Source organism: Homo sapiens, chromosome X, assembly GCF_000001405.40.
Source record: "Homo sapiens chromosome X, GRCh38.p14 Primary Assembly".
Classification (NCBI taxonomy): Eukaryota; Metazoa; Chordata; class Mammalia; order Primates; family Hominidae; genus Homo; species Homo sapiens.
In genome coordinates this window covers 130,319,553-130,342,143 of record NC_000023.11, presented here as the reverse complement: position 1 = coordinate 130,342,143, position 22,591 = coordinate 130,319,553, and the positions used below count along the sequence as shown (strand labels likewise).

Below are 22,591 nucleotides of genomic sequence, written 5' to 3'. Positions count from 1 at the left end.
TATTTCCTCTCTTAACTAAGTAAGATCCCCAAGGGAAGATACTATATCTCACAGTACTTTTTATAACCCCCATTATAGCTTGCATAGAATTGAATACATATCCATTCAATACTTAGTTGGTTTTGCAGTGTGACATCCTTTACCTATGTATGCAGCCTGTATATAAAAGATTGCAGAGGAAACAAGGAAGGTAACTTGCTGGACCTGGCCAATGCTACACACCCTGTGTATGACACTATCTTGATCCCCAGATATTCTCTGCCTGCGAACCCTGTTCCCTTGCTTTTGTTCCAAGGAATTACTTATGTAAAATACCCCAAGCCCTCTAAAAATTATTTTAACTTGTAGGGGCTAACCCCAAATATGCGTAAAAGTAGTCATATCTAAGGTAAAATAAAAATATAGTACCCTAAATATTTTTACTGTATAAAGAAACCAATGAAAATTGTCTTCAAAATGCCAACATTTATTCTGAAGATCTGACTTCGGAGAATTTGATAGACTAATGAGTGAAAGTAAGAATGTCCTACAATACAAGTTACATTGCCCTATACTACTCCCAAGATCTGGTCAGGAAACTCTGGGTGCCTCTCCTGCTTTCTCCTTTAAGAAAGAGTAGAAATTAGAGATTCTCAGATTCAGAAGGTAACAATGGAGAGCCAAGCAGATATTTATTGAAGGCATGCTAAATGCCCAAACCTGCAATGCACTTTGGGTATAATCATATTTGAAAAACACAGATATTCGTTCTAGCACCAAGACAATATTTACCACTCAACCTGTCTTTTCTGAATAACCAATGAGATGGGACAGAGAAAAAAGTACGAAATACAGTACTTGCCTTTCAAGAGCTTATAATCTGGTGGAAGAAATCAAAGTAGTGCGTTAGAGAAAAATTAAGTACTAAACTGTGTAGTACAAACTTTAAGAGCAAGAGGAGCATAGAAAAGACTACAACCAGCATGGGATTGACTAATTTGAAAATTGCCGAGGTGAGAGAACCTAAATTGAACCTTGAGAGACGGTAGGTACAACCTGGTTAGGTGCAGGTAAGGGAGAGGGGCAGGGAAGAGAGAATGAACAGAAACACAAATGTGGGAACAAGCACAGCATGTAGAAGCAGGCATCAGTATGGTTTGTGCCAAGAAGAAAGGAACCTAACTGGAACAGAGAATTCCCTTGTTGACTGAAACAGTATCAGACAAGAAGTGTGATAAGGAGCATGTTATGTTGAAAGGCTTGAAACCAAGGGGTGGGGGTAGGGGGTGTAGGAGGGGGCTGCATGTTTTGTGTGTGTGTGTTTAACAACGAAGTGACTTGAGGAAATCCACCACATTTTAGCCTATTAGGGCTGCAGCAAACACAGTGGATTACATTACAAACGGGAGAGGCAGGGAGACTAGCTTAGGATGGTGCAAAGTACAGCAGACAAAGATGCTTGTTGGCACTGAGGTTAGAGATAGACTTCCCCAATGAAGACACAAAGAACTCGATGATGTAGGGAATGAAGACGAGGGAAGAGTTCATGATAACGCTAGGCATCTCTAGGCTGGGGGGAAAAACAACAACAACAAGGAATCACTGACAGGAAACCATAAATGTCCCTGCTGTTATCCTGTCTGAGAAACTAATTCATGTTGATAACAGCTGTCATGCCAATCAAGTAACTGAACTGCATTTTAATAGATGCCTTCAATGCCTTGACCTCAGGAGTGACAGGGGGTAGAAACCGAAGGGGAGCATCTTTCAACAGTATCCCTTACACTAATACAATGGAGGTGTTTGCTTACTCCGCTTACAATCACGGCCGCCGTTGCAAACTTCACCCTTAGAAAAATTAGGATTATTCCGGGAAAGATACCCATTCACCCTCTGGGTAGCAGGATCTTGCCAGTTCCTCAGCTGTCAGAGCGAGCTCGTGGAGAGAAGGGAGGCGCCTGAAGAAGGCGGCCTCCCAGGGGGGTCGAGGAAGCAGGGTTCAATCGAAGAAGTAAAACCACCGATGCCAGAAGAGTGAAAGACAGGGAAGGGACTCAGCTGAGGGGAGAGAGAGACCAGAGGACCGTTAAGCCCCTCCCAGGCCGGGAACCAGGCCAGCCCGGCCCCGCGCGGCCTGGCGCGGCCCAGCCCCGCTCCCCAGCCTGGAAGTCCAGGAGCTCCCCCTCACCTGCTCGGGCTCATCGGACGACTGGGAAGCTGAGGCTCCCACAGTCGGAAACGCCACTGCAGCGCCAACCCGGAAGCATTGAAACCAACGGAAGTAACCAAAGCGTTGCTTCGGCAACCGCGGCGCAGCCATTTCAACTCCGCCCCTTCCAAAACTAAAAACAAAGGCGCGAAATAAGAGGCGGAAGCGGCAGAGTTCTAAAGGCGAGGGTCGGAACCACTGCAGGCGCAGAAGCCTAGAGGGGCAACCGGACTTGCGGGAGGTGGAGGCAGGGCAGCTAAGGCGTGAGAATTTGGTAGCTTCCCCAGTTAACGTGCTCGCCAGAGGGGAAAGAGGTGTCGCCTCGTCACCGCGAAACCCACCCACCTGGCGCGTAGAAGGACTAGAAAAGGAAGGGGCCTCGCCCCGGTATCAGGGCTTGAGGAGTGGGTCAAGGGGAGTGGTGGGCGTAGTGCCCTGCGCGCTCAGTACGAAAAAGGCGGCAACGTGGAGGGGGTGGGGCAAAGGCTTCAAAACAAAAGTAGGAAAGTGAGACATAGGGGTGAGCCGAATTTAGTGAGGTGCCTGGGCTCAATGAGAAAATAAAGTTCAAGGCCAGGCGCGGTGGCTCACGCCTGTAATCTCAACACTTTGAGGGTCCGGGCGCATCACTTGATGCCAGGAGTTTTGAGACCAGCCTGGCCAACATGGTGAAATCCCGTCTCTAGTAAAAATGCAAAAAAATTAGCTGGGTGTGGTGGCACGCACCTGTGGTCCCAGCTACTCGGGAGGCTGAGGCAGGAGAGTCACTTGAACCCCGGAGGTGGAGGTTGCAGTGAGCTGAGATCACGCCACTGCCCTCTAGCCTGGGTGACAAAGCAAGACTCCATCCAAGAAAGGAGAGAAAGAGAGAGAGAGAGAAAGAGAAAGGAAGGAGGGAGGGAGAGAGAGAAAGAAAAGAGAAAGGGAGAGAAAGGAAGGGGGGGAGGGAAAGAAGGGAGGGAGGGACGGAGAATGATCCAGACAGCACCTACTGGACGTCAGACATTAACCAGTGAAAAATTACGGTCAGACCCCTTACTCGAAGCTCTTGCTTTAATCAGAAACTTCACTTAAGAAAGAGCAAGTTGGATACCAAAAAGGGGACCACAAAAAGCTAAACAGATGAGGCAGAAAAACACCAACGGGAAATCCCAGTTAATCCAAACCTCATAATCCACCAGAAGATGCCAAGAGTCCGACCCCCAGCTTCCGACTCTGGCCCCTCTGGCTGCTGGAAGGGGAAACCGCAAAGCCCCTGGGTGATTCCATTAGCCAATGTGCTATGACGTCCGATTTTTGAGCTATGACGTCCGATTTTTGAGCCTCTTAACAACGTTCCCTAATCACGCGAGAGTACGCAATAATAGGGTTTATTGCTTATGTGTTATAAGGAAAAGTCAGTGCAAGTTGGCCCTAAATGGTTATTTGTTGAATGAATAAATATTTGGAACTATGTTCTTCCAAAAGGATATTTCTCATTTTAGTTCACCTTGTTTTATTTTGTTGGGTTTTGTTTGTTTTTTTTTGGACAGAGTCTCACTTTGTGGTCCAGGCTGGAGTGCAGTGGTGCGATCTCGGCTCACTGCAACCTCCACCTCCCAGGTTCAAGCGATTCTCCTGCCTCAGCCTCCTGAGTAGCTGGGATTACAGGTGCCTGCTACCACACCCAGCTAATTTTTGTATTTTTAGTAGAGACGGGGTTTCGCCATGTTGGCCATGCTGATCGCCAACTCCTGGCCTCAGGTGATCCACCCGCCTTGGCCCCTCAAAGTGCTGGGATTAAAGGCGTGAGCCACCTCGTCTGGCCTGTGTTTTTGTTTGTTTGTTTTGTTTTCCACTTAAAAATTTCTCCAGGCAGCACACATGACGATAATATTAGCTGACATTGTGCAGTACCTACCATGTACCAAGGGTGATGCCAAGAGCTTTTTGTGTTCCTAACTACCCTATAAGACAGGTACTATTATTTTTCCCCTTTGACGGTTGAGAACACAGGCCATAAAAGGTTAGGAGAGTAATTTAGAAAATGGCAGAGCTGGGATTGCTCTTAACCACTATGCTATGTTGCTCTCATCTATACTATAGTTGGGAAGCCGAGGCAGGAACATCATTTGAGCCCAGGAGGTCGAGACCAGCCTGGGCAATATAAGGAAACACCCGCCTCTACCAAAAATTTAAAAATTAGCCACGACTGTAGTCGCAGTTACTCCGGAGGCTGAAGTGGGAGAATCACTTGAGACCGGGAGGTCAAGGCTGCAGTGAGCTGTGATCGCGCCACTGTGCTCCAGCCTCAAATTTTTTTTGGCTGGGCACAGGAGCTCACGCCTGTAATCCCAGCACTTTGGGAGGCCGAGACGGGTGGATCACCTGAGGTCATGAGTTCGAGATCAGCCTGGCCAACATGGTGAAACCCCGTCTCTACTAAATATACAAAAATTAACCAGGTGTGGTGGCGTACGCCTGTGATCCCAGCTACTCGGAAAGCTGAGGCAGGAGAATCGCTTGAACCTGGGAGGCGGAGGTTGCATTGAGCCGAGATTGCGCCACTGCACTCCAGCCTGGGCGACAAGAGTGAGACTCCATCCCCCCCACCCCCCAGAAAAAAGAAGTCACCATTAAGAAGAGTGAAAACGCAAGCCCCACAATGGTAGATTTTTAATCCATGTATCCTACAAAATTTCATATCCAGTATATGTAAAGAACTCCTAAAACAGTAATAAAATGATAGGCTACTCAAATTTTTAATGGGAAAAATGCTTGCGGGGCACTTCATAAGAGAGTATATCCAATAACCAATAAGCATATTAAAAAGTGTTCAACATTATTATTCATCAGGAAAATTAAAATTAAAATCACAATACACACCCACCAGCGTGGCCAAAGTTAAAAGGACTGAGGATTGGCAAGGATGTAAAGTATCTCAAATTCTCACATACTGCTAGTAGGAGTGTGTGTTAATTTTCTATGCTGCATTAAAAATTTGCCACAAATTCAGCAGCTTAGAACAACACACATGTACTGTCTCACAGTTTCTGTAGATCAAGAGTCCAGGCATGACTTCACTGGGTCCTGTGCTCTGGGATCTCACAAGGCTGCAATCAAGGTGTCGGCCAGACTTGTATTTTTATCTTAAGACTTGACTGAGTGAAAATCCACTTCCACGCTCACCCAGATTGTTGCAGAATTTATTTCCTTGCACCTGTAGCACTGAGGGCTTCAGTTTCTTTCTGGCTGTTGTCCAGAGGCCACTCTCAGCTGCTGAGGCTGCCCCTGTTTTCCTGCAACGTGACCCTTTCCACAGACAGCTCACAATATGGCCACTGGTTCTTCCGGGCCAGTAGGAGAATGAGAGCCTAAGATGTGATTTTATCAGTGCAGTGTACATTGGGACTATTAATTTCTTTGGTGAAGACTATATATAGTTTTCAACATTACAATAGCTTTACTATTTTTTCTGATTATAAAAAATACATAGTTATTATAAATCACTAAACTATACACAAAAGTGGAAGGAAGGTAGCAATTACCTGAAATCCAAACATCCACTGCTACTCTTGATAGTCAAAAGCCTCCTTCTAGTCCTCACCATGCATACACACATGCTTATCCTATAATTCTTGAGATAGGTGTGTTCATGTCATGTGCTTCTGGAGGGTGGCCTTATGTCCTTGTGTGCTGGAGTCAGTGGGCTGGCTATCCCTAACTTATGGTCCTCCTACATCGGGAAGCAGATTTTCTGCTTTTGTTTTCATAATAAGTAATACTCCCCCGCCTGGCCTCAATTTTAAAGTGATGCATCTTCATGGAGGGGAAAGGAAAACACAAAAGAAAAATTTTAAACACACACAAATAAAGATAAAAACACAAAAGAGGTTGGGCGCAGTGGCTCACACCTTTAATCCTAGCACTTTGGGAAGCTGAGGCAGGCCTGAGGTCAGGAGTTTGAGACCAGCCTGGCCAACATGGCGAAACCCCGTCTCTACTAAAAATACAAAAAATAGCCGAGCATGGTGGCACACGCCTGTGATCCCAGCTACTCAGGAGGCTGAGGCAGGAAAACCGCTTGAACTCGGGAGGCAGCAGTTGCAGTGAGCCAAGATCGAACCACTGCACTCCAGTCTGGGCAACAGAGTGAGACTCCGTCTCAAAAAAACAAACAGTACACACACACACACACACACACACACAAAAGTAAGTAAAATGTAAGCGTCATCCCCACTACCCAGATACCAGCATTAACATTTTTCCATCTTTTATATGTTTATGTAAATATTGCATGAACCTAGTCTTACCTATGCCTCCTTGCAGACCTCACTCACTCCTCCTTGCTGCTCCTGGAGAGCCACCTTCCCTCTCCATTTATCTTTCCTATCAGCTTCATATTCTTCCCAGGTTACCACAAAAAGAAAATCTTCTAACCCTGTGTCACCCTCTAGATTCTGCTTGATCTCCTTCCATTAATAGCCCTTTAAACATTGTTGTTTTTTTTTTTTTTTTTGAGACAGGGTCTATCTCTGTCACCCAGGCTGGAGAGCAATGGCACTATCATGGCTCACTGCAGCATCAACCTCCTGGGTCCGAGTAAGTCTCTACCTCAGCCTCCTGAGTGGCTGAGACCATAGCCATGCACCACCATACTCGACTAGGCTTTTATTTTTTATTTTGTAGAAACGGTGTCTCCCTATGTTGCCCAGGCTGGTCTCAAACTTCTGGGCTCAAGCGATCCCAATATTAATATTCTTTGGCTCATGCCTGTAATCCCAGAACTTTGGAAGGCCAAGGCGGGCAGATCACTTGAGTTAGTTGTTCAAGACTAGCCTGGCCAACATTGTGAAAATCCATCTCTACTAAAAATTAAAAAAAAAGTTAGCCAGGTGTGGTGGTGGGTGCCTGTAATCCCAGCTACTTGGGAGGCTGAGGCAGGAGAATGGCTTGAACCCGGGAGGCAGAGGTTGCAGTGAGCCAAGATCATGCCACTGAACTCCAGCCCAGGCGACAGAGCAAGACTCCCCCTCAAAAATAATATATATATACATATATATATATGTATATATATTCTGAATATTGTGTTTAGCCCAATACATCCAAAAATATCACTTCAGCATGTAATCAATATAAAAATTACTAAGTAAATATTTTAGTCTATTCCATACTACATTTTTGTGTATTTTACATTCACAGCACATCTCAATTTGGACTAGCCACATTTCAAATGCTCAATAACCACATGTGGTGAGTGGCTCCCGCAGTAGGCCGCAGAGATCTATCTCATTGCTCCATCTGATGAATTATCACATAGCTTCTCCAGCATCCCCCTAAGGAATCATCTAGCCTCCTGCTACTCAAGTGCACTCAACTGGCAACATCAATATCACCTGGACCTTGCTAAAAATGTAGACTCTCAGGCCTCAGCCAGACTCTATTTAAATAAGAATCTCCATTTTAACACTATGTCCAGATGATTTCTTTGCATATGAAACTTTAAGAAGTCTGTTCTGCCCCCTGTTAAACGCTTCCAGTAGCAGGGAGCTCACTATTCCACCCCCAAAGAAGGTCATTCTATAGTTAAATAGTTCTACATTATTAGAAAAACATTTATCTTTCCTTTACTGAGTATTCCCTATGATCCTGGCACTGTGCTAAGCACTTCATGCAAATTATCTCACGTAAGCCCAGCAGTCTATGAGATAGAGGGTAATTTTGGCTCCTTTTGTTATCGTTGTTGTTGTTTTTTTTTTAATTTTTCATTTTTTTGAGACAGAGTATCACTCCATCACCCAGGCTGGAGCCCAGTGGCGTGATCTCAGCTCACTGTAACTTCCACCTCCCAGGTTCAAGCGATTCTCCTGCCTCAGCCTCCTGAGTAGCTGGGATTACAAGCGTGTGCCACCATGTCAGGCTAATTTTTGTATTTTTAGTAGAGACAGGGTTTCACAATGTTGGCCAGGCTGGTCTCGAACTCCTGACCTCAGGTGATCCATCTGCCTTGGTCTCCTAAAGTGCTGGGATTACAGGCATGAGCCACCACACCTTGCCCATTGTTGTTTCACTATAGAAAAATGTACATTACAGCCAGGAGCAGTGGCTCATACCTGTAATCCCAGCACTTTGGGAGGCCGAGGCAAGTGGATCACTTAAGGTCAGGAGTTCAAGACCAGCCTGACCAACATGGTGAAACCCCATCTTTACTAAAACTACAAAATTAGCCAGGAATGGTGGTGCATGTCTGTAGTTGCAGCTACTCAGAAGGCTGAGGCAGGAGAATCACTCGAACCTGGGAGGCGGAGGTTGCAGTGATCTGAGATCGTGCCACTGCACTCCAATCTGGGCAACAGAGTGAGACCCTGTCTCAAAAAAAAAAAAAAAAAGGACATTACATAAAATTTACCATTTTAACCATTTTTAAGCATACAATTCTATGGCATTAAGTACATTCCCAATGTTGTGCAACCATCACCATTATCTATTTCCAGAAATGTTTCATTTTCCCAAACAGAAGCCTATTAATCACTTCCCCTCTCCCCTCTCCCAGCCCTTGGTCACTACTATTCTACTTTCTCTATGAATTTGCCTATTCTTGGTACCTCATTTAAGTGAAATCATACAACATTTGTCCGTTCGTGTCTGGCCTATTTCGATTAACATAATGTTTTCAAGGTTCATCTACGTTGTGCCCTGTATCAGAATCTCCTTATTAAGGCTGAGTCATATTCCATTATATGTACAGAGCACGTTTTGTTTATCTACTCTTTCTATAGATAATATTTGGGTTGTTTCCACATTTTGGCTACTATACATGTTATGAACACTGGTGTACAAGAATCTGTTTGAGTCTTTGCTTTCGATTTTTAGGGGTATATACCTAGGAGAGCAATTGCTGGATCATATGGTAATTCTATGTTCAACTGTTTAAAGAACTGCCAAACTGTTTTCCAGAGTGGCAGCATTGTTTCATCACAGCCTTTTAAAAATATAGCAGTTTTTGTGGCTACTTTTCTGATCAGAAAAAATGTTTAAACATTCTGTTTTATGAAAACTGAAATATAGACAACTTTTTTCCTTTATTGGAAATATTTATTTAACAAAAAAAAAACAGAATAAAAAGAATGGTCCTAAGAAACTAATGGTCTATTAATTTTTAGTGGCAATCCATATTTCTAGTGATGCTTTTAGAAAACAATGTAACAAAACATTTAAAAGTCATGCTAATATTACTAATATTTACACCTTGCATCTCAATTGGGTAAGTATCCAATTTGATGCATATCCTAGTAAATTTTTAGGTACCAAACAAAAATTGAACTGATATTCATAACATAATGGTTTATTTATCTATTTTTCCTGGCTATCATGTGCCTTATATTTTCATAATGAAAAAGGGTACCAATTGTTTAAATGTCTTTAAAAACTACCCATCTACCTATATAGCAAGTTTTAACATGATTCTTCGAGTCATCCCTTACCCAAAAAATTCATCTGATTCTCTACCCTGTAATGTATACTTCATATAAACGTCTATAATCCTTTATTCATCACCTTCTATAACGTTATCGGTAGCCTCACTGGTGTTTTCTTCTTTAAATCTGCTACTCTAAAACAAAGTTCAGCCATTTTTTTCTTTTAAATGGCAAGACATTAAATATTCTAGGCTGTACCTGTCATTCGATCAGTCACAACTACTCAAAGTTGCCACTGTAGCACCAATGCAACCACAGATCACATGTAATAAGTGAACATGGTTGTGTTCCAATAAAATTTCAGGCCAGATATGTTACCAACCGCTGCTCTAAAGAAATCCTAAACTAGTATTGTTTAGGTAGAACTAGCAGTTGAGACTAGAATAAAATAGGATATAATTAAATATCAGAAAATTAAATGGTCCTACTTGCAGACCATAATGTATGATTTAAATATTATACTTAGAAATTTACAAGAATGTGTGAACTGAACTGATAAGCTAAAGAATTTCTAGGTTAAAAAAAATCAAACGTACCCACCTATTCAATGAAAAATTGTCTTACTCTTGGGGAAGAGCTTGGGACAATGATCAGATTCCACCATCTGCTTGCAACCAAGCCCATGCAATTACTAGAAAATGTTGGATACTGGCCAGGTGCAGTGGATCACGCCTGTAATCCCAGCACTTTGGGAGGCCAAGGCAGGCAGATCACCTGAGGTCAGGAGTTCAATACCAGCCTCGGCAACATGACAAAACTCCATATCTACTAAAAGTACAAAAATTAGCTAGGCATGGTGGCATGCACCTGTAATCCCAGCTACTTGGGAGGCTGAGGCAGGAGAATCACTTGAACCCAGGAGGCGGAGGCTGAGGTGAGTCGAGATCAAGCCACTGTACTCCAGCCTGGGTGACTGAGTGAGACCCTGTCTCAAAACAAAAAAAACAAAAAACAAACAAACAAACAAAAAAAACTGAAAATGTTGGGTATAAATGATTCAACAAAGGAGAATTTCTCAGAAATTTCCTGTTTGTCTCCTTGGATTTAAACTCAAAATGGTGGCATAAATTGGCCTAATTAATTCAAGTTGAGGGGTAATATTGCAAAAAGACATAAAGAAAAGCTAGAAGAGAATTTATCAATAAACCGCCTTCCTCTCTGCTCTTATTTTATAAAAAGTAAATAGTAAACCCTCAGAAATGAGAGCATTCTAATCTTAAAGTCGAAAAAAAGAAAAATCCCAAAGGAAAAAAAAAAAGTAATAAATCAAAATCAACCTTGTAATAGCCTTTTCCTAAAAAATGAAAGCAGCAAACATAAAAAGACAGACTAAATGAATCTACATCACATTGAAAAATTACAGATTACATCTTTATTACATTGACTGGTTTTTCCTTGGAATCAGATTCCTTGCTGTTCCAATACGGCTTTAACCACTTCTTGATGTCTCAGTTAAGAATGCTTGTCTCAGTTCAGCCTGGAAATTCACCACAGGTGCTTGCTGCTGCTGAGAAGCCTCGGGTATAACTGACATTCTTGGTTCTCAGGAGGTGGTCCTTTTGCGTTTAACTTGGACTTCCACCTCTGGCACGTGCTGGTCTGTAGTCCGTCTCAGGTGTTAGTGATCCCTTGCTCTCTCCAGCACGCCACTGACAGCTCCTCGGGCATCAGAGACCTCTAGCGGCCAGCCGCTCTGCTCTGCCAACAAAGATTTAAACACACACAACACACACACACACACACACACAAAATCCCATTGCCCAGTGAAACACACGTTAATGCAATCTTTCTGGGATTTCTTTTTATGACAATTGTTTCTTCAAATAAAAGTTTTGTTTGTTCCCATGGAATTCTAAACATGCTTTTAAAGGAATAATATTTTAGAAATGTACTTACTTTGAAATACACAATTTTCCAAATAATATGCAGCCGTCAGAAATTATGCTTATGGGAGCTATGTAATAATAATTAATAAAACCTACCATCTATAGACTGCCTACTATATTCCAGAGACTTTACGTACAACAACTCTAATCCTTACAACAACCCTATGTAGCCTTTAGCATTTGACAGAACAGGTTTCGCCAGCTGTGTGGTCTTGCATAAGTATCCAATCACCCTGTCTTCAAGTTTCCTCACCTGTGAAAACAAGGATCTACCAGACCTATCTCTGGACTTACTGAGCATTCAAATGAGCTGATTCACATAAGGCACCTGGAACAGAGCCTGACACATCATAAGCACTCAATACCTGTCTATTATCACCAAAAAGGGGCGTGCCTTAAAATTTAAACATGACAGAATAAAATCAAACCATGACAAGTACCAGAAGAAGATGTAGGTGAACAGTATTATTATAACCCTGGGGTGAGCAAGACCTTTCTAAGCACACTACAAAAGGTAGAGACAGTAAAAGCAAAGGATTAATAAAACTGACCACTCAATGAAAAATCACTTCTGAACAGCAGAAAACACCACCAAGTTAGACGAAAAGCAATAAATTGGAGGAAAAAAAAAAAGGCAGGGCACGGTGGCTCACGCCTGTAATCCTAGCACTTTGGGAGGCTGAGGCAGGCAGATCAACTGAGGTCAGGAGTTCGAGACCAGTCTGGCCAACATGGCAAAACCCCGTCTCTACTAAAAATACAAAAATTAGCTGTGCATGGTGGCACACACCTGTAATCCCAGCTACTCGGGAGGAAGGGAAGGAGAATCACTTGAACCCGGGAGGCGGAGGTTCCAGTGAGCTGAGATCACACCACTGCACTCCAGCCTGGGCGACAGAGCAAGACTCTGTCTCAAAAAAAAAAAAAAAAAAAAAAGATTACATATTTGATGGACAAAAGGCTATTGTCTTTAATATACAGTGAGCTTTACAAGTTAAAAGAAACTTGTAAGTTTTTTTTAAAAAGAAACTTGTAAAGCTCACAGTACATTAAAGGGGAGGGGAGGGCAGTGAGAGATGAGATCAGGGAGGTACCAGGGGTGGGGAGATCAGATGGGGCTCTGTGTATCATGCTAAGGACTTTGGATTCTAAGTGTACAAACACTCAAAGATATTTTCCTTTAAAAATAGGCAAAGAACATAAACAGCAGAGCAGGACCGTTTGATGTGGCCATTTTATCCACAGGGACATTTTGATAAGCCCTGCTGACACAGCTATCCCTAACCTCCAGTCTAGTAGACTTTTCACTTTCTACTTTATTCCTTTCTGCATCATTTAAATTTTCTTCTATAAATGTGTGACTTGTCATCAGGGAAAAAGAAAGAAAGAAAAAACTTATTAGACAAGGTTAGCCTCTAAGAGGAAACCAAATCATCTTTATAAAATAAATTTTATGGTATTAAATATAACATTTGAAACTTAAGTCCTGAGAGAAAAGTTAAGAATTTAGTTGAGCATTTCCTCTATAGCCTAGAGCTGAAAATAAAATATCTTACTGTGTTCCAAATACCCTCCTTCTTCCCCTCCACCTACTGTCTATCTATATCTAATTCATTCATTCATTAGGCTCTTACTGAGCCCCAGCTTTGTGCCAGGCATGGTGCTAGGCTTCAGGACCTCCCAGCGAACCAGAAACAGTCCCTGCCCCCATGGTGCAGACAGTCTCATTGGGAGTTGGAGGAGGAGCAGGTAAAAAATAATTAAATATTCAGGTTAACGATATATTGTCAGGTGTGAGGAAAGGGCGCAGAGAATGGCAGGGGCAGCTGTTTTAGCTACAGTGGCCAGGAGGCCTCCAATGGAGTGATCTTTGAGCAGAGGCATGCAGGAGATGAGGGGACAGTGATGAGGATTTCTAAGAACACTCCAGGCAAAGACCTGAAGCAGGCAGGGGCCTGGTGTGTGTTCGCCAGCATGGCTGGAGCAGAGCCATGAAGGGGGAAGGCAGTGGGAGATGAAGGCAGGGAGTCCCCCGGGGGTGGGGAGATCAGGTGGGGCTCTGTGTATTATGCTAAGGACTTTGGATTCTGTTCCAAGAGCTGGAAAGGTTGACGTGATCGGGGGAAAGCAAGCCCACACAAAGCAGAGGTGTCCAGTCTTTATATTTTTAAATGAAAAAAAAAGAGTAACTTCCATTAAAACAAGTGACTCCTGGTTTTGTGTAATAGTAGACCAAATGGTGCCCAATCCCTAACCATCCCTTACTCCCATATCTAACCTGTACCTCAGAGTGGCAGTGGTTAGCAATAGAGAATTCTTCTGTTTGGTTGTTGTGAAGAAGGAGTTAACACAGTATGTTTGGTGGCTTACTCCTTGCATGTCTCCAAGCCACCCCTTGGGAATGTAGCCTTCAGCATGTTCTTTAGGTCACTGATGGATTGACTGTTTTGTTCTGTACACCTGGAGTAACGCACCATGCCATGGCATCTTGTTAGGGTTGCTTTGCCCAAACATCAAGATTGATGTATGTGAACCTGGTTTCGTTGTTGGAGTCCTGACCACAATCAGTGGCACAGTCTCGGCTCACTGCAACCTCTGCCTCCTGGGCTCAAGTGATTCTCCTGCCTCAGCCTCCCGAGCATCTAGGATTACAGGGACATGCCAACACGCCTGGCTAATTTTTGTATTTTTAACAGAGACAGGGTTTCACCATGTTGGCCGGGCTGGTCTCGAACCCCTGACCTCAAGTGATCTGCCAGCCTCGGCCTCCCAAAGTGCTGGGATTACAGGCATGAGCCACCGCGCCCAGCCTCCTGAGTTTCAATTGCCATGGCCAGTTGTGCATATATGACTAAGCATTCCATCAGAGCCTCAGACCTTGAGACTTGAAACAGCCTTCACTGGGCACAGATATTCCACACATGTCCCTGAAGTTCACTGCTACAAGAAATTGAAAGGGGAACTATAAAGTATTGTAAACTAAAAGAAAAATGAAAAAGCAACATAATTAAAGCTGTGGGATGCAGCTCAAGCAGTACTCAGAAGAGTATTCAAATCACTAAATCCCTATATTAGAAAAGCTGAAAGCCCGCAAATCAATGACCTCAGCTTTGCTCTTAAGAAACAAACAAAAAACGAAACAAAAAAAAAATAACAAATTTAACTTAAAGTAAGCAGAAGAAAGGAAATAATAATGGTAAGGGGAAAAAATCAATAAAATAGGAAATAGGAAAAAACAGAGATAAAGCAATTAAATCAAAAGTTGGTTCTTTGAAAAGACCAATAAAATGTAAAAATCTGTATCCAGAATGATCAGGAGAAAGAAAGAAGATGCAAATTACCAATATCAGAAATAAGAAAGGAGATATCACCATGGATCCTCCAGACATCAAAAGGATAATAAGGGAATATTATAAACAATAAATAAAAAAGAAAAAATAGATAAATTAAACTTTATCAATTTTTTTAAATGGACCTCAAAGGACACTACCAAGAAAGTGAAAAAACAACTCACAGAATGGGAGGGAATATTTGCAAATTATATATATGATAATGGTTTAGTATCTCGAATACATAAAGAACTCTTAAAGGACCCACCTCTCGATACTGCCAAATTGGGGATTAAATTTCAACATCAGTTTTGGGGAGGACAAATATTCAAATCATAGAAAAAACTGTATGCCAATAAAATTTGACGATGTTGGTGAAATTGACAAATGTACACATTTCCTAAAATACAAAAAGTGCCAAAGTTCATTCAAGAATAAATCAATAATCACAATAGTCAAATATTAATTTGTAGTTTAAAAACCTTCTCGCAAAGAAAACTTTGGTCCCAGACTTCACTGGCAAATTTTCCCAAACATTTAATGAAGAAATAATTACAATTCTATATGAAATCTTCCAGAAAATAGAAGAGAATAGAATACTTCCCAAATCATTCTACAAGGTCAGAATACCCTGACACCAAAATCAGATAAAGACATTACAAGAAAGAAAACTAAAGACTAATACAGTTCAAAAAGACTCAAAAATTCTTAAAATTTTAGCAAATTGAATCTAACACTATATAAAAAGGATGATTTATCATAACTACATGGGGGTTTATCTGAAGAATATAAAGTAGATTTAACAATCAAAAATGAATCACTGTAATTCACTATATGAATAAAAGAATAAATAAAAAACATATAATCATTTTTATAAACACAGAGAAAACATTTCACAAAAATGCATCATTCATTCCTGATTAAATCACTAAGCAAACTAAGAATAGAATACGCTAAAGAAAGGTAACTACAAAAGACCTATAGCTAACATCACACTTTCTGATGAGAGGCTGAATGCTTTTCTCCTAACATCAGTAATAAGGCAAGGCTATCCATTCATCCCACTTCTATTCAGTATGATACTGAATAGAAGAAATTCTAGTCAGTATGATACTGAATAGAAGAAATTCTAGTCAATGAAATAAGGCAAGAAAAAAAGGCATTCAGATTGGAAAGGGAAAACAATAAACTCTCATTATTCATGGATAACATGTTGTCCAAACAGAAAAGCTTCTAGAATGTTGTATAAATAATCTACAACTAATAAGTGGGCTTAGTAAGGTCACAGAATATAAAGTCAATACACAAGAATCAATTGTACTTTTATATATTAGCCGTGAATAACTGGACATTTTAAATTTTAAAAATATTTAAAACAGCATCAGACATATAGAATATTTAGGGATAAATGTGACGCAAAATGTGCAAGATCTGCACATTGAAAACTATAAAAGATTACTAAGAGAAATTAAAGAAAACTTAAATAGGAAGATATACTATACTCACGGTTTGGAAGACTCAATAGTATGAAAATGTCAATTCTTCTCAAACTGATCAATAGATTCAACACAATACCAACCAAAATCCCAGGAAACTTCCCTATAAAACTCACAAGCGGATTCTAAAATTCTTAACTGATATGCAAAGGATCTGAAATACACAAAAAAATTTTGAAAAAGAATGACAAAGTTAAAAGAATTACACTACTTGATTCAAGATTTATTATAAAGGTAATTAAGACAGAGTAGCATTGACAGAAGGAGAAATACATAGATCAATGGAGTAGGATAAAGGGTCCAGAAACTGACCCACAAATAAGGTGAACTTATTTTCAACTGAGATGACAAGGCAATTCAATGAGAGAAAAAACATTTTCAACAAATAATGCTGTCAAAATTCAATAACCTTGTCAGGCACGTTGACATACACCTGTAGTCCCAGCTACTTGGGAGGCTGAGGTGGGAGGATTGCTCAGGAATTTGAGGCCAGCCTGGGCAACATAGAGAGACCCTTATCTCTAAAAAAATAAATAAATATAAAAAATTCTGAATAATCTCATGCAATAAAAACACAACTTAGACCCGTATTTTATGCCATATAAAAAATAAAATCTCAATGAAGCATAGACCTAAAGGTTAAGAGTTTAAAAACTATTTCTTGAGACTGTTATGTAGCAAACTAAATTCCTAACTGATATAGAAGAATTCCATGGTGTAAAAAATATATGAAGAAGTATATTCCTTTTGTAAATGTTTATAATTTGCAATAACCTATTAAAACTCAGAAATCCAACAACAAATAAATTTAATTTTGTTTAACCCAGTAATACACAAGTATATTTGTCCATGAAGCTCTTTATTTGCATATTAGTAATAGTCTATGAAACAATTTCAAAACCACGATCTTGTTCAAGACTTTTGCTCTAAATATGAGAAATCTAATGCCTAGAGAGAGTAATTCACTTGAGAGAAATGGGAGATGTCTCCAACCATAAATCCTCTGCTTTTTGTATTACACAATAGATTATCATTTTCAGTGGCATGGAATATGCCTTGAAGGTTTCATAAGCAAGTGTTGCTTCTACTTCTGTGCCTCTACTACGTTTTGGGCCATCCCTATTATAGTGTTAATTATCCTATAGTACAATAATCTGTCTTTTTCATGAGACTGAGCACTCCTTCTGCCCAGGGAATGATAATGGATCATTTTTCTTTTGCCCAGTTAGTGCCAGTGACTAGAATATAGTGGAATTTCAGTAAATGTTTTACGAATAAAATATAAAGGTGGAGAGGATTCCCATGTGAACAGCTGATATGGTTTGGCTGTGTCTCCACCCAAATTTCATATTGAATTGTAGTTCCCATAATCCCCATGTGTCATGGGAGGGACCTGGTGGGAGGTGATTGAATCATGGGGGCAGTTACCCCCATGCTGCTGTTCTCATGATAGTGAGCGAGTTCTCACAAGATCTAACGGTTTTATAAGGGGCTTTCCCAGCTTTTGCTCAGCACTTCTCTTTGCTGCCGCCATGTGAAGAAGAACGTGTTTCCTTCCCCTTCTGTCATGATTGTAAGTTTCCTGAGGCTTCCTCAGCCATGCTAAATTGTGAATAAATTAAACCTCTTTCCTTTATAATTTACCCAGTCTCAGGTATGTCTTTATTAGCAGCGTGAGACCATTATTAGCAGCATGAGAGAGGACTAATACAACAGCCCAAGAACAAGAGTACAGACATCCAAAAGTTAGAGTACAAGACTCCAAGTTAGGAAGAGACGAAATATTATCTAAGGGAGGAAGTCATGGTTGGTGAGAAATTAAAAATAATATATGCACGACGAGGAAACAGGAAAGTAAACACAATGAGATGTAGCATTATCATAAGTGCAGAAAGATTTTTGGTTCAAGACAACTGGTATATAATTGCATAATCACTAAATAATTGCCTATACTACACACCAAGAATATGCTGTGTTTCGTGCAAAAAAAATCAGCACATTATTACATACTAACCACTTTAAAATCATTATTGCAGTTAGACAGCACTGGATATATATGGGTTTAAGTATCAGTTCAATATGTTGAGAGAAATAATTTCAAGCTTGCTATTCTCAAAATAAAAATGTTAGAATATATGAAAACAAAAGTACATTACAAATGAAGCTAACTTTTTAAAATTTATTTTTTTTTCTATAGTAGGTTCAAGTTCAAGAAGAAGCTAACCATTATATATCACGCTAAACTCTTGACTTATTTAGGTCTCATAACTACCCTGTCAGGTAGATTTCTCCTCAACCTCCCACCTTTTAAACAGATTTCAGGAAATGAAGCATCCTCTCTCTAACAATCTGCATTCAGTCACAAAAATCTAGGTTGCCCCAATTTTCCCCTAATAATTTCCAAATCTCAAGATTTTTTAATGCAGTGAACTTTTCCAGTGACTCCAATTTTACAAATAGAGTTTAATTTTCCTGATGTACAGAACCTCTTGTTGAACATAAAAATGATAACACGGAGGCTGAGGCAATAACAGGAATTGTATGAGCCCAGGAGTTCAAGGCTACGATGAGCTATGATTGTGACACTGCACTCCAGCCTGGGCAACAGAGCAAGACCTCATCTCTAAAAAATGACAACAGGTCCATCATCTTGTTCAGGAAAGACACACTCTAGAAATTCAAAACAGGTGCCTCTCCAAGGGAAAACCTAAGACTTGTAAGAGTTCCCAGCATGGTTTTGAATCAAAATAGATTTGTAACTTTTCACAGAACTGTAACCGACTCAAACTCATTTTGTTCACCACACGACAGCTCATACGCCAAGAGACAAGAAGTTAGAGCAAGAACAGTGACTTTATTTTGAAGACCCAGCAAACGGAGAAGATGGCAGGCCAATGTTCTTGTTCTTGTTCTTGTTCTTGTTCTTTTCTTTTCTTTTCTTTTCTTTTCTTTTCTTTTCTTTTCTTTCCTTTTCTTTTCTTTTCTTTGAGACAGAGTCTCACTCTGTTGCCCAAGCTGGAGTGCAGTGGCATGATCTCGGCTCACTGCAACCTCCACCTCCCGGGTTCAGGTGATTATCCTGCCTCAGTCTCCCAAGTAGCTGGGATTACAGGGGTGCACCATCACGCCCGACTAATTTTTGTATTTTTAGTACAGATGGGGTTTCACCATGTTGGCCAAGCCAGGCTGCTCTTGAACTCCTGACCTCAAGTGATCCACCAGCCCCAGCCTCCCAAAGTGCTAGGTTTACAGGTGTGAGCCACCGCACCTGGCCTGGACTACCATTCTTAATAACTTAAGAACCATCTTAACTGAGTACAAATTTCAGGCTCTTTTTATGTTAAGGGCAGGGGAAAGAGGAAGGGGTTGGAATCAAGAAGCGAGCAATGGCTGCAGATATCTGAGCACCAGTGAGGGTCCGAGGAGGTTGGGAGCTGTTTTTTCCTTGGTCAGGTCACAATACTCCTATAAATCTTTAACAAAACATAGTTTGTTGTTTATATACTTCCCCTTTAATGCCAGAGTTAGTTTAAAAAACTATATGATTGCCATTTTTGCATTTTATCTCAGTGCTCTAGAATTATCCTAGCTACATGCAGGAATGGGTAAAGGCCCCTTAAACAAAAATGTAGTTAGTTATGTTAGTTCTTCTGCTATTTTACTGTTACATAAACAGAAGTAAAAAGAGAACGAACATGTATAGAGCATGTAATAAATTATACAGATATTATGCTAAACACTTTTTAAAGTGTCCTCCATTTAATTCTCACATCTTCCTTATGAGATAAAATGGACCTTGCTTCTGGAATGTTTACTAAACATTATGAGTTTTTACATTTTCAACAAAGGTGCCAAGAACATACATTGGGGAAAGGACAATCTCTTCAATAAGTGATACTGGGGAAAACTGGATATTCATCTGCAAAACAATTAAACTAGACCCCTATCTCTCACCATATACAAAAATAACTCAAAAATAACTCAAAAGTAAAGACTTAACTGTAGACCTGAAACTGAAACTGCTTTAAGAGAACATTGGGGAAATGCTTCAGCACACCGGTCTGAGCAAAGATTTGAGGTAAGACCACAAAAGCACAAGCAATAAAAACAAAAATAAACAAATGGAATTACATCAAGCTAAAAAATTTCTGCACAGCAAAGGAAACAATCAACAGATTGAAGAGACAACCTACAGAATGCGAGAAAAGATTTGCAAACTATCCATCTGAGAAAGGATTAATAACCACAATACATAAAGAACTCAACTCAACAGCAGAAAAAAAACCCCAAATAATCCCATTTTTAAATGGGCAAATGATTTGAATAGATATTTTCAAAAGAAGACATACAAATGGCCAACAGGTATATAAAAACATGTTCAAGATCATTAATCAGCAGAAAAATGCAAATCAAAGCCACAACGAGGTCATCTCACCCAGGTCAAAATGGCTATTATCAAAAAAATAAGAAATAACAGATGGTGGTGAGGGTACAGAGGAGGAGGAACTCTCATACACTGTCAGTGGGAGTGAAAATTAGCACAGCCATTATGAAAAACAGAATGGAGGTTCCTCAACAACTAAAAATAGAACAACCATATGATCCAGCAATTCCACTGGTGGGTATATCGCCAAAAGAAAGAAAATCAGTATATTGAAAAGATATCTGCACTCCCATGTTGATTGCAGCATTATTCTCAATAGCCAAGATGTGTAACCAACCTAAGTGCCCATCAACAGATGAATAGATAATGAAAATGTGGTATATATTATATACACAATGGAATGTTATTCAGCCATTAAAAAAAAGAATGAAATCCTGTCATTTGAAGCAATATGAATGAATCTGGAAATGAATCTGGACCTTCACTCTAAGACTTGTAAGAGTTCCCAGCATGGTTTTGAATCAAAATTGATTTGTAACTTTTCACAGAACTGTAACCAAGTCCAAACTCATTTTGTTCACTACACAACAGCTCATATGCCAACAGACAAGAAGTTAGAGCAAGAACGGTGACGACCCAGCAAACAGAGAAGATGGCAGACTAGTGTGAAATAAGCCAGGAACAGAAAGACAAATATTGCATGTTCTCATGCATAGGTGGGAGTTAAATAAATTAATCTCATCGTGGTAGAAGGTAGAATGGTGATTATCAGAGTCTGAGAATGGGAGAAGGGAAGGGGGATGAAGAGAGGTTGGTTAATGGATACAAAAATGCAGTTAGAAAGAACAAGTCCAAATGTTCCATAGCACAGTAGAGTGACGACAGTTACCAATAATTTATTGTATATTTCAAAATGTCTAAAAAAGATTTGGAATAAATGTTCTCAACATAAAGAAATGATAAATATTTGAGGTGATGGATATATGTATCAAAATATCACATGCATCCCATAAATATGTACAATTATTATGTATCAGTTTAAAAATTCTAGCAACTACTCTAGGAAATAAAAGAAAAAATTGTGAGTTTTTAAAAGCTAGAAAAACAAAGTACATAAATACGATAAATGTTTAACAATGGAGTAGATTAGTTATAAATAAACAGAAAGTGTATTAGTCCATTTTCATGCTGCTGATAAAGACATAACCCAAGACTGGGAAGAAAAAGAGGTTTAATGGACTTACAGTTCCACGTGGCTGAGGAGGCCTCACAATCATGGTGGAAAGGAGGAGCAAAGTCACATCTTACATGGATGGCAGTAGGCAAAAAGAGAACTTGTGCAGGGAAACTCCCCCTTACATAAAACTCAGATCTCATGAGACTTATTCACTTTCACAAGAAGAGCATGGGAAAGACCTGCCCCCATGATTCAATTACCTCTCACCAGGTCCCTCCTACAACACGTGGGAGTTCAAGATGAGATTTGGGTGAGGATGCAGCCAAACCATATCATTCCACCCCTGGCCCCTCCAAATCTCAAATGTCCTCACATTTCAAAACCAATCATGCCTTCCTAACAGTCTCCCAAAGTCTTAACTCATTTCAGTATTAGCTCAAAAGTCCACAGTCCAAAGTCTCACCTGAGACAAGGCAAATCCCTTCTACCTATGAGCCTGCAAAATAAAAAGCAAGTTCGTTACTTCATAGATATAATGGGGGTATAGGCATTGGGTAAATACAGCTATTCCAAATGGGAGAAATTAGCCAAAACAAAGGGGCTACAGGGCCCATGCAGGTCCAAAATTCAGCAGGGCAGTCAAATCTTAAAGCTCCAAAATGATCTCCTTTGAC

The 22,591-nt window shown here is 40.4% G+C and overlaps 1 protein-coding gene and 1 pseudogene across 12 annotated transcripts in view, besides 3 other annotated features; both read right to left on the bottom strand.

The window, feature by feature from the left end:
* The window catches only part of SLC25A14 (solute carrier family 25 member 14), a 33,439-nt gene extending 31,214 nt beyond the window's left edge, over window positions 1-2,225 (bottom strand). For 6 of the 11 annotated variants that reach the window (NR_104107.2, NM_001282198.2, XM_005262489.6 and 3 more), the window contains exon 1: window positions 2,168-2,225. Coding sequence is in view for 5 of the 11 variants with exons in the window: in XM_005262489.6 (XP_005262546.1) it covers window positions 2,168-2,181 (14 nt within the window). In the remaining 6 variants the exon portion in view is untranslated. Of the gene's footprint in view, window positions 1-1,763; window positions 2,038-2,167 lie in introns of all 11 variants that reach the window. The other 5 variants (XR_007068205.1, NM_001282195.2, NM_001282197.2 and 2 more) reach the window with 3 other exon arrangements.
* Window positions 1,998-2,207: a silencer, noted in NCBI's record as "silent region_20999". NCBI's record gives its function as "represses an Ori minimal core promoter by ATAC-STARR-seq in GM12878 lymphoblastoid cells {active_cell/tissue: GM12878}" and the evidence as "EXISTENCE:reporter gene assay evidence [ECO:0000049][PMID:35858748]".
* Window positions 1,998-2,593: a biological region, named in NCBI's record as "H3K27ac hESC enhancer GRCh37_chrX:129473525-129474098".
* Window positions 2,020-2,593: an enhancer, noted in NCBI's record as "H3K27ac hESC enhancer chrX:129473525-129474098 (GRCh37/hg19 assembly coordinates)". NCBI's record gives its function as "activates a minimal SCP1, AML or CMV promoter by ChIP-STARR-seq in naive H9 embryonic stem cells {active_cell/tissue: H9 hESC(naive)}" and the evidence as "EXISTENCE:reporter gene assay evidence [ECO:0000049][PMID:30033119]".
* On the bottom strand, window positions 10,995-14,454 carry LOC112268303 (SNRPN upstream reading frame protein-like; annotated as a pseudogene). Its single transcript, XR_007068358.1, has 2 exons — window positions 14,409-14,454; window positions 10,995-11,343 (listed from the first exon to the last, which is right to left on the bottom strand). The product of XR_007068358.1 is annotated as an SNRPN upstream reading frame protein-like (transcript).
* Between the last annotated feature and the right edge of the window lie 8,137 nt (window positions 14,455-22,591).